Genomic DNA, 12,073 nt, shown 5'->3' with positions numbered 1-12,073 from the left:
AAGAGGACAGCAATAAAAACAAATTGGAGGGGGAAATATAGAGTCAGATGTTATAAAGCCTTGAATGGAAGTTCTGTTTAGTTTTGCTTTTGTGGTAGGCAATGAGGATTATTGAAGGTTTTTAAACAGGAGAGTGATGTGATTAAAATATAGCTTTTAGAACATTATTTTCCCCCATATTTTTTCTTGAAACATTTTCAGGCAAAGCTATACAATAAAATACTAAAGAATAAAATTCAAAATAAAACAAAGGAGACATGAGAGAAGAAAAGATAAAGTCAGAATGATGCTAGTTAGTACCATAGAAGGGCTAGCTTGGAAGTTGTGGGCAGGTAGGCTGCGAAAGAAAGACACAGAAGAAAATTGGAAGACGACTGCGATGAGCTAGTCTTGATGAACAAGGGCATCAATCAGGGCAGAGGTAGTAGTAAGATAAAAGAAAGGATGAATTAAGCAGACACTATGAACAAGGAATTGACTGAATTTAATGACTAAAAGGCAAAAAAGACGAGGGCTACTGTTGATCTCACCGCTTCTGTTCATCTGCAGTCAGCTCCAATCATCTTGGGTGTTTGCAGGTTTTAGTGGCATGCCTTTAGGATTTTTAGTTGAATTGCCTCATTATTTTTACTTTTTGCTTAGTACTTAAAGTTGCAATTTTCTTGGCTAAATCCGAACCCTTGAATTTCTGCTTGCCCCTATTTTGCCTGTACTTTGTTATCTCATTTCCTGTTGATTACCTATTTGGAAAAAGAGGATACAGGGCAGCCCTCGATATTGAAGATTCAAATTTTCAAAATGGAACCTCAAGTTTCTCATTCCCATGCCCACAACAGATTGGGTTTTAACTCAATTTGTAAGTCAGGGCTCAGCCTATTCCCTGTGACTGAGAGACCAAGCAACAATAAACATGATTGCCCATCTAGCCGAAGCTAAGCATTTTCTTGAGAAACAGCAGGGCTCAGTAAAGATCTAGAGAACCAGGCTTCTTCTTGGAAAAACAGGTGACACTTTCTTAAGCAAGAAGGTGTGGGATTTCTATGAGGAGATTTGAAGAAGGAAGTATATGTGGGACCTGTGTCTCAAGCCGAGGCAGTACAGGGCCAGGTCAGGAATTTAGAGAGCTGCTTTCAGGACTGACCCTCATGGGGCTCAAGGAAAGTCCAACTTACCTAGAATTTAATGTTTGTCTTTCTTATATTCTGCTCTGAAAGTTCTTCTCTGTAATATTCTCCACACTTAATTTCCTTATGAAACTGTTGTAACACTACAATTTTAGTAATGTAAAGAAACCAACAGTTAAACAAATATTCTCACTATTTATGTAATAATTTCCAGTATTAAACTTTTGGTCCTTTTGTGACACACACAACATCGTGGTAATAAGAAATTATAAGATAAGTCTTCCTTACAATGTCTAGCAAAAGATTATTTAAGCAATCAAAGAGTTATTCATGGTGTGGAATCTGAGTTAATGAAACAAATCCGTGACCTAAAAGATACACACACACACACACACACACACACACACACACACACACACACAGCATCATCCACAGTGCAGCATACTCTTTTGAAGTATCTTGGAGACCAGCATTACCTTTGACAGGTAAAGATGGACTCGGATGTGGTGCCGGGCTCTCTGACTATGACTTGTTCACAGTACCAGTACTGTGATTTGTCACTGGCCTCACAGCGCAACAGCACCTTCTGCAGTTTTCCAAGCGACACTGCTGCTACTTGAAATTTATCAATCTGGTGCAGGAGACAGAGAAAAAAACCCACAGAAATAACTAGAGTCCGAGGCATGACAAATGCAGGCAATAATAATAGTTAAACGACTGCCAGAAGCAGCACAATACTTTAAAAGAGATGTTACTGTAGTTAGCATCAAAAGGGGCAATATGGTGAGAAAAATAAGCAAATTACTTTTTATCTATTAAAAATATATTTCTGGCTGTTTTTTCACTCTTGCAGTTTTATTTTCTCCATTTGTAGTAGCATCCAGAGTAACAAACAAAGAAATCCCAACACAAACACTTTTCTCTCGTTAGACCCCTACTCTGAGAAGCAGCTCATTAGGGCATCAGGTTGACAACCACGCAGCTAATGTACAGCACATTTCCTTTCTATGAGTACTGATATGCTTTGAGACATGTGGGACAAATTTTCTTTCCTTCCTTCCTTCCTCCCTCCTTCCCTCCCTCCCTCCCTCCCTCCTTCCCTCCCTCCTTCAATACATCCTTCCCCTGCACCTTCCTCTGTAGATGAAAATAGAGCACATTCTTGGGTTTGTTGTAAAAGAGTAGCCTGGACTCTTCACTCCTAAATAGAATTGGTTTGTTATATCAAAAATACACTGACATTTCCAGAGAGATTCAGGACCTAAAGTCAGTGCTATACTGATTAAAATCAAAAGAACTCCTTCACACATTACTTTCTCGTAGATTGTTGTCGAGAATAAACGTCCTAAAGTTATCTGAGGAAAGGATCATGAATTTAAGTAAGTCTGAAAAGTTACCAGAAATGATAGTTGACTGTTAGCTACTGCTACTCTATGGTAAAAAATGTTACTCTAGTATCATTTGTATTGCCTATGTGGAGAGCTGTCTTAACTGCTCCCTGCATTGTTACCAGGTTAAATTTCAATTTGATATTTGAAGACACACTACAACTATTGGCTCCATGCTGTCTCAACTATTGGCTCCATGCTGTTGATGGAAACCTCCTGTGGAGTCCAGACCAAAACCATTACTAGTCCAGTAATGATGGTTCTGTAAACCAGATGATGAATATTTGTGCATCTTCTCATGTGTGCACAGATCATCTCATTGTCACTGTCCTGCATTCTCAGCACGGCTTTACAAGGGACGTTTCATGAGGCAGGTCACCTGTTGTAGCAAATGCAAGTGATGCCCCATCCCATGACCTCTGGATCCATTTCTAGGACTTTCTAGGTGCATCTGCTGCTTTGATAAACAGTTTCAGTGTGCTTATAGCTTTCTATCTCAATCTCCTGTCTCCTGCTTCTGTGTCTGAGGGCTTCCCCTGGTGGGACAAATCTGAGAGATGTTTCACAGAGTTTCTCTGAAGTTCTCTAGCAAGAAGAGGTAGCCACAGCAGTAACCAGCTCACTAATATCCCTGTATTGGCTTTTCTCCTTTCCTGCCTCACTGTTCCCACTCCTTCACTTCTCCAGTGCTTACTGGGATTATCTCCCAGATAAATTACCCTCACTGAAGTCTTTGTCTCTCAGTTGGCTTTGGGACAAGCCCAAACTACAACACTTTGAGGTCTGGAAAGATAGGCTGAGTCAGCTTTCTGGTCTCTTCTTTTATCTTAAAGTAATTTTAGGTTTGAAGACAGAATTAAATTTGGTCTGTTACATATATTGCTATGTTTTATTATCGTGCCAGGACACCTTGTAGAGAAAATGACAACTAGCCCAATGAGTGGTTTATGATGTGAGATGTGGCAGGTATGCACAAATTCTGATAATAAAACTCTCAGACTCTTACCACAGTTTCTGGACTACAAAACTCATGAAATTATTTGGCATTTCCATTATATCCCAAGCACCGAGGAAAATAACAGAAAATGTAAAATCTAAAATGAACCAGGGAAGAAAAACACTTTTACATCTCTGATTCTAAACTTAAAAGCAGATACCACTAAGCCCTCACTGTACTCTTCTTTATACACTGATTGCAACTATATCTCCTACCCAATTTTAATTTCAATCCACAATACACCCTCCCTACTGTCTGGAAAATGCTAAACACAATGATGAACTGAGGAAGATCAATCATGAAGATGACTTGCAAAATCTCAGCAGGTAACGTCCCATGATACAGCACTGCTGCAAAATGATACATGCTGGCAGCCAACTAGCAGGCAGCCAGGGTACATGGAGCCTCTGCCATTTATCCTCAAGTAGTCAGGTGAAAGAGTCTGGGGCTGATGCAAAGCCAGCACGGTTCTGTAGGAGATCACTTCGCTGATCACTTAGCGTAATATTAATAATAATACCACGGCATCTAAAATTTTGTTTCTGCTTAAAATTAATAATTCATTCCTGATAGCAAAAGTTAGGCCTAATTTTGCTTTTGACTCACTCAAAGCAGAACTGGCTTTCCTATTCATTCTGATGAAAGCTTTTGTGTAATCAACAGTGACAAATGTATAGGTGAGCTTTAAGATATCCAATGTTTCAAAATATTTCACAAACTACAACAAACAGTCTGAGAAACAGCACTCTCTAACTGGTTTAAGGAGTCTTCTTTCTTAAAAATATGCCTTTAGATTACATAATCCCCAAACTTAATTTCAGGCCCTCAAATAGTACCTTCTCTCCATATACAACAAAATAACATTAACAATATCCTACTGCAACTTCTCAAAGATCTACTATATAGAAAGACTTATGTTTGTCTATAAGGACAAAAGGAAATAAGGAGGGGCTTAGGTGTGAAAATAACACAGTTGGCCCCATTCAAAATGTTTTATAGATTAAAGGTCATTGTGTTATTATATGAAATATAGTATAATGGCATTTCTATGGCCTTATCTTTTAAAATAATGCCTTGTATCTTTCAAGCCTGAGAGAGCACATTCATAAATATTTTCCTTGTCTTTTGAGTTCATTTTTTTCTTTTCCTCACATGATCACTAATTTTTAATATCTTTTCTTTGTTCTATTATATACTGTTGGTTTAGTATGTCCCATTTTTCTTGCAAGAACAACTTCCAAAACAAAGCACATTAGGAAGTCAGGTCAGGAAAATGTGTTAAAGATGTCTTAAAACTACAATTTGAAGAGTGCCAAACGCCTTTTAAATTTTAAATCATATGTGGCCATCTTCAGAGAGATTGTTAAGAATCTGGGAAATTATTTGTATAGACTCACCTGTCCTCTTTGAAATTTTACTTGCATGTTAGATTTGTACAGCTGTCTGAGGCCAGAGTCTCCCCTCTCCCCAAAGAGACAGAGGAAAACCTCAGACTCCGTCTCTGCATGCTTCAGCTGCCCAGTGTAGACGTCAACCTGGTATCTCACTACTGGCAAAGCAACAGGGAGAGAAAATAAGAGGAAATACATTACCTTGAAATCCATACAAACAGAACCCAGATCCATAGGTTTTCAGGCTATAGTAAAAAAAGAAAAACATATATGAGAATTCCTGTAATCTGGATTTTCTGTGTCTATTGAGAGACTTTTGAGCTTTAATTATTTTTAATCATACATGGGCATTTTTGCAAAAGGCCAGAAGGTTTATTGCATTTTCAGAAAGAGAAATAAAAGATTTTTTATAAGGTTGTTCTTCTATGTATGACATAAGAGGACATTTTATGCTTAGTATTTTAGTGGTAAAGGTGACTGTTATTGTACATTATGTTTAAAGTTTAAAATGATGTAAGGTTTGATGAGGAAACAAATCAAGCGAGGAGGTAAGCTGGCCCCAGGCAAAGCTAAGGTGAGTTGCAGCCATGGCATTTCTTGTCTCTCACAGCCTCAGCCTTTGTGACTGTAGCTGGGCCACAAGAACAATTTTGAGATTACATTTAATCTAAGATCCACCAGCAACTCATGCTGTGACATTAAAAAAGTCACTTCTCAAGAGTAAAACAACTCTCTTAGAAGCAGGAAAAATATTCTGTAACTAAATAGCTTAGAAGCAAATTTAAGCAACTACCAAACAATTTGTCTATGGAATAGATGCTACTGAAGATTAAAAACACACATGGAAAAATAGCTTGTCCTCCTTTTACTACAGGAAGCTCACAGACAACATCCCCATCTGCCTGAATCCGAGACAGCCATACGTTTGCTGCAAAATCTAGGATCTTCTTGCTTTTCATATGTTGCATGGTCACCTGGAATTAGAAGAAAAAATGACCAAATTGTGTCATCTCCAATTTCTCAAAGAACTTGGAATTCACAATGCATCCCAGGGATTTCAAAAGTGTACTGCATACTCTGATGATGGTGATAGCGGTGATGGTTGTTAGTAGTAGTAGTCGTAGGTTGGTGCAAAAGTAATTGCCATTTTGCTATTACTTTTAATGACAAAACCACAATTACTTTTGCACCAACTTACTAGTAGCAGTAGCAGTAGTAGCAGTAGTAGAAGTGCCATCAGTTGTTTATTAGGCAATTTTTATTTGCCACATATTATGCTGAGTGCTTTATTTTAACTATCTTTTAACCTTAATCAATCGGACTTGTAAAATTCTTTCAATCTTATAGATAAGAAAATGGAGGCATGAAGATTTGAAATGGACTCTAGCAGATTCAAAGCTCTCAATTTCACCTGTGGTAGTGATTTAAAAAAAAAAACAATCTAAGAGAACTCGAAAGGAGATCTTGCGTTCATATTAGTCACCAAAGCAAGAATACATCAGAACTTGAAAAAAAAAGTGAATGCCTTTTAAGTGTATTTATAACATCTGTAGGCTCTAAATAAACCCCCAGTTGCCACAGACCAAATGCCTACACCTTCCAACATGCAGGCAGCTGCCCTTCCCCCCAACCCAGTGAATCCTCCACAGACCCCTTGTCAGCCCCTTTGGTGGCTGTTCCACACAAAGGCCCCTTCCCTTTATCTTCCCCTTCACATGCCAACAGACTAGCAGAGAACTTCCAGGAATAAGCCCACAATTGTTTGCCTTGCCTCCTATCACAATAGATAAAAATGTCCTCATCCTTTTAAGATTCCAGCTAATCTTCTAAATAAGTCCCTGTCCCTCCTCAATTTCCTCTGCTTCCTGGCCTTAGGAGCAGGTGCCACCATTTCTCAGATGGCTTATTCTTCGAGCTTGCTGCCATAACCCACTGTCTGCTGTTCCTGCTCTCTTCCAATCCTGCCTTTAGCCTGTTTCAAGAGAGACTATTTTAAAACAGAAATCTGATCATTTTGCACACTGCACACAACTTTTTTTTCAACAGTCCTTCCTACAGTATAAAATCCCAAATCCTCAATACAATGAGCAGTTCATGGTTGGGTCATAATCTTGCTAGATACTTCTCCCTCATGTGCTATGTTCTAGTTGTACTGATCTGTTCATGGTTCCTCAACCTGGCCACATTCCCTCTCATACCAGTTTTCACATACACTCGTAGCTCTGCTTAGAACAGTTTTCATCCTGACTCATTACCGTGATGAGTCTGCCCATCCTTCATAGCTTACACATAACCTCTTCTAAGGAGTTTTTTGTGAGCCCTCGGTTTGGTTCAGTAACCCTACTTTGTGATCCATGGCAGCCTCCCCATTGATGATTTAACAGCTAATATTTGACAGACTTGAGGGAAGGAACCATGTCCTACCCATCTCAATACTACCACAAGCTTTCACAAGGCTGTCCTTGGGTCGTTTGTTGAACGAATGATTAAATGAATAACTACGTGAAATGGGTATTTGTCAATACAGGTTACAGACTAACTCAGCACGCCTGACCATTAATGAGTGACGACTGTATCTTTACTTGCTCCAGGCAAGAGGTCTTGAAAAGAACACTGGACAGCTAGAAAAACTGTGACCAAAGTCTAGCTCTGGCATTTCCAACTGACCATGAGAAATCATGTAACCACTTTGAATACCACTTCTGTGGTCTTTAAAATAGAAATAATGACTATCTCATATGGTTACTGTGGATATTAAATGAGATTATATGTAATGTGTAAAACTTTATATAAACTATACAAATACTTCATATTAACATTAGTGAAATGTATATATGTATACATACATTAATATTAAAAAGGTTAGTATAATATATTCTACTGAACTTGGAAATGTTCTCTTTGGATTATATCATTCTTTATTTAGACAGAGGCCAGTGTCTGTGTGGAATTTGCACGTTCTCCCTAAATCTGTATGGGTTTTCTCCAGGTCCTCCAGTTTTCCTCCAACATCCAGAAGCTCTGCATGTTAGAGAAACTGGTGTGTCTACATGGTCCCAGTGTGAGAGTGTGGGGGGTATGCAAGTGTGTGGGTATGAGCGTGCCCTGCAATGGGATGATGGCATGGCGTCCTGGCCAGGTCAGTTCCCGCCTTGCACCCTGAGCTGCCAGGACAGGCTCTGCCCACCCACAACTCTGAACTGGAATAAGCAGGTTGAAAAATGAAGGAATGAATACAAATGATTGTCAAATAAAAATTTGTAACGTCTATAATAATCATACAAATGTACAAAAATAAACAATTAGGGGATGAAAGCACTCACCGAGTTGCTATGTTTGTGACGGTTTTCGAACTGCATGGTGGAAGGAGGTGGTCCTGACAATTTCCCTTTGCAAACATTTATTCCTTGGTTTAACTCACCATAACTACGACTGCTATCACTCACTGATTGACCAAACATAGGGTAAAACTTTCTTACTTCTTTTCATTAATCTTTATTACATTTATGTATAGCTCACATTTATTTCAATGATTAATATTTGAAGTGTTTTGGACTTCAGAAGATTGGAGATGTTTTTGGGACCAGAAATATGCTCTAGAAATTTAACTCTTGTTTATTTCAGTTAGCCAATGGTAAATTAGTTTTGTTATACCAAGTATTGCTTGAAGTCACAGTTTCCAAGAACCTAAGACAATGTTAAGCGATTACAAGGTCATACTACCTAAAACTTCAACAGGTTCTTCCTCTACATTAACCTCTCCATGCAAATTGGCAAGAAGCCTCTGGTTTCTGAGGCCCCGCCATCCCTTCAACCTTAGAAGAGCCCACTGATAAGAGAGCCTCACTGATTTGACTTAAGTGCAACCCCACGAACACCACTGAAAAGCCTCCACAGTGAGGGCTCTAAGTGAGTTCCGTTTACCTTCGAAGTCATGATGGCTCGAAACAGAAAAACAAAGAATCTAGGTAATCTCCAGCAATGTTTGTTTTTATTTTCACAAAATATTTTTTCAACCGTTAAATTAGTAAGAAGGGCAAAATTCCAGGACGACCACAATGTTTAAGCCCCGTTACATGATAGCTAATGGCAGGACTCAGTAAAAGGCATGTGGCAAGTGAAACAAACATGGATTTGAATTAAAAGACCTTGGTTTATGTCTTTGCACTGCTATTTACCAGATGTATGGCCTTGACCATTAACCACTGAAATAAATGTGAGCTATGCATACATTAAGATAGATTAATGAAAACAAGTAAGAAAGTTTATTTTACCTCATTTTTTGGTGGATCAGTGAGCAACAGCAGTCTTGTAATGGTGAGTTAAATCAAAGATTAAATGTTTGCAAAGTACAAATTGTCAGAAGCACTTCCTCCCACCACACAGTTCAAAAACAAACCATCACAAACATGGCAGCTCACCAAGCATTTTTATAAAAGTTCCACAAGAGGACCTCTCATCTTCAGGCCCTCATTTGCAAAACTGCCATCATATCTCACCAAGTTGATAAGTGCCTTATGTAATAAAATGAGATCAAAACACCTTTTGGAAAACAGTTTGTAAACTATAAATGATTAGCCATAGGAAGTTATTTTCCAAAGCAGAACTTTCTCAAGAATGGGTGGCGATGTGTCCGGAGTTGGTTCCTTCCGGTGGGTTAGTGGTCTCACTGACTTCAAGAATGGAGCCGCAGACCTTCACAGTGAGTGTTACAGCTCTTGAAGATGGCACGGACCCAAAGAGTGAGCAGCAGCAAGATTTATTGTGAAGAGCTAAAGAACAAAGCACCCACAGAGTGGAAGGGTACCCGAGCAGGTTGCCACCGCTGGCTGGCGTGGCCAGCTTTTATTCCCTTATTTTTCCCCTCCCATGCTCCATTTCTGTCCTATCAGAATGCCCTTTTTCAATCCTCCCTGCAATTGGCTTTCAGAGTCCTGCTGATTGGTGCGTTTTACAGACCACTGATTGGTGCGTTTTACTGATTGGTGAGTTGTGCAGGGCACTGATTGGTGCATTTTACAATCCTCTTGTTAGGTACAGAGCACTGATTGGTGCGTTTTTATAGAGCACTAATTGGTGCATTTTACAATCCCCTTGCTAGCTACAGAGCACTAATTGGTGCATTTTACAATCCCCTTGCTAGCTACAGAGCACTGATTGGTGCGTTTTACAATCCTAGCTACAGAGTGCTGATTAGGGCATTTTACAATCCTCTTGTAAGACAGAAAAGTTCTCCAAGTCCCCACTTGACCTAGGAAGTCCAGCTGGCTTCTCCTCTCAGTGATACTTAGGAATATTGTAAAAGAGCTTGATTTCAGAACATCTAAATTTTCCAAGTTAACAGTAAGAGGGCGGTTTTTGTGCCTAGAAGTAAGATCACTTCTTTCCAGATCCACATGCTAGCTATGTAATATGGGAATTGCCTAGTTCTCAAAACCTCAATGTTCTCAATTAGGATTATGATAATATCTGCCTTTCTGTGGTATAAACATTAAAAGTGATCAGGTATACCCTGAGTGCTCAACACATGTTTATTGTTTTTAGTAATAATAGTATCAAAATTAATCTCAGAGATTGGAGATCAGAATTCTTAAAAATTATTTGGGATTGTGGTTCCTCACTCTTTAACATCCTCCTAGAGAATGCCCAAGGAAAACTTCAGCCAAACGTTCAGTTTTCTATTACCAGAATGAGAAATTCTATTCCAATTCCCTGACTCCTACTGTACTTGGGAGAGCTGACCACGACCATCTGGGAAGACAACTAACAGTCTCCTTTGGCTCTCCTACCCTTAGCCAATCTGAAGTAGCTTCTCCTGCTTCCTCTCTCCTGGGCCCCTCCATGAATTCTCTAGCCCATCAGTCAAGGAGTTCATAAACAAAAGGCAAAACCTCTAACTTCAAAAAAAAAAAAAGAAACCTCCAAAGCTTTGGAATCCCAAAGCTGTCCTCTAAGCCAGGTCTCCCACTCATCCCATCTTCCCAAGAAAGCTCTCCAGCACTTCTAGTCTCCTGGGTCCCTAGATCACTGTGTAATCCTTGTCTGCTTTCCCTAAAATGGCTCCTATTCTGCTTCTTTGTACCTCAAGCAGGAAATTTTAAGAAAAAGGAGGCCATTCCTCTCTAAACTATAGGGACCGGCACTGTCCCAACTCCTCTTGAAGGCTTTATCTTTTCTTTCATGTCCTCCCTGAGCCCCTTCTCTAACTGTCCTTAGTGCCTGCCTTTAATGTCAACCTAGATATCAATGGAGCAAGGATCAGGTCCAGTGGGTCAGAAGGAGGGTCATCACTATGGCCAGAAGACTTGGGGTTGTGAGGGCAGAGTGAGCCAACTGCCCTCTGCCATAGCCTCACTCCACATCCTGATTAAATGCAATTAATAACCAACAACAATTGCCACCATCTATATTTGTATTCTACTTGTTTTTTGTTTTGTTTTTTTTTTGAGATGGAGTCTTGCTCTGTTGCCCAGGCTGGAGTGCAGTGGCGTGATCTCGACTCACTGCAAACTCCGCCTCCCATGTTCACACCATTCTCCTGCCTCAGCCTCCCAAGTAGCTGGGACTACAGGTGCCCATCACCACGCCTGGCTAATTTTTTGTATTTTTTAGTAGAGACAGGGTTTCACCATGTTAGCCAGGATGGTCTCGATCCTTTTTTATAAAATACTTTTCACAAATTGTATTTAATCCTAAACAAAATAAATAAAATAATCTTATCTTTTCTTGGAGGAGAAATGATATAGAACCAGAGTCAACAAATACTTTCTGAGAGCTACCCATGTGGCCATTTGTCTACTGAACACTGGATGTAAGATAAACACTGGATAGAACACAAAGAATATATTAGGATGAGAAAGGTTTAGAAAAAAATCCTTTTAGAAATCCTACCCTGAAATATCATAAACCTTTGTTCTATAAAACAAAAAAAAATACTTCTACTCTCATTACAGATTCCATATACACAAAGCTTTTTCTGAAAAAATAAAGGCAAATAGTCACCAACACGTTTGTTGGACACAACGTATTTATAGTACTCTATAAGATCTGATACTGGGGATGGTGGATGGGGCACTCATGTCAGTCATTAGTATTTTCTTTGTATAGCCAGAAATATGAAAATATAATAAGGTTTAAATGTGTTCATACGGAACATTTTAAGTGTTCTTGCAA

The 12,073-nt window shown here is 39.2% G+C and overlaps 1 protein-coding gene across 8 annotated transcripts in view; it reads right to left on the bottom strand.

The window, feature by feature from the left end:
• RP1 (RP1 axonemal microtubule associated) overlaps positions 1-12,073 on the bottom strand; it is a 312,050-nt gene that overhangs the window by 110,558 nt on the left and 189,419 nt on the right. For 6 of the 8 annotated variants that reach the window (XM_047422069.1, XM_047422071.1, XM_047422072.1 and 3 more), the window contains 3 exons: positions 5,742-5,874; positions 4,907-5,058; positions 1,601-1,755 (listed from right to left, as the gene is read on the bottom strand). In XM_047422069.1, coding sequence (XP_047278025.1) covers positions 1,601-1,755; positions 4,907-5,058; positions 5,742-5,874 — 440 coding nt within the window. Of the gene's footprint in view, positions 1-1,600; positions 1,756-4,906; positions 5,059-5,101; positions 5,146-5,741; positions 5,875-12,073 lie in introns of those variants that run through there. The other 2 variants (XM_047422070.1, XM_047422074.1) reach the window with 2 other exon arrangements.

This window comes from Homo sapiens, chromosome 8, assembly GCF_000001405.40.
Source record: "Homo sapiens chromosome 8, GRCh38.p14 Primary Assembly".
NCBI classification, from domain to species: Eukaryota; Metazoa; Chordata; class Mammalia; order Primates; family Hominidae; genus Homo; species Homo sapiens.
Note: the sequence above shows the minus strand (reverse complement) of the source record. Positions and strands in the feature narration are given on the sequence as shown.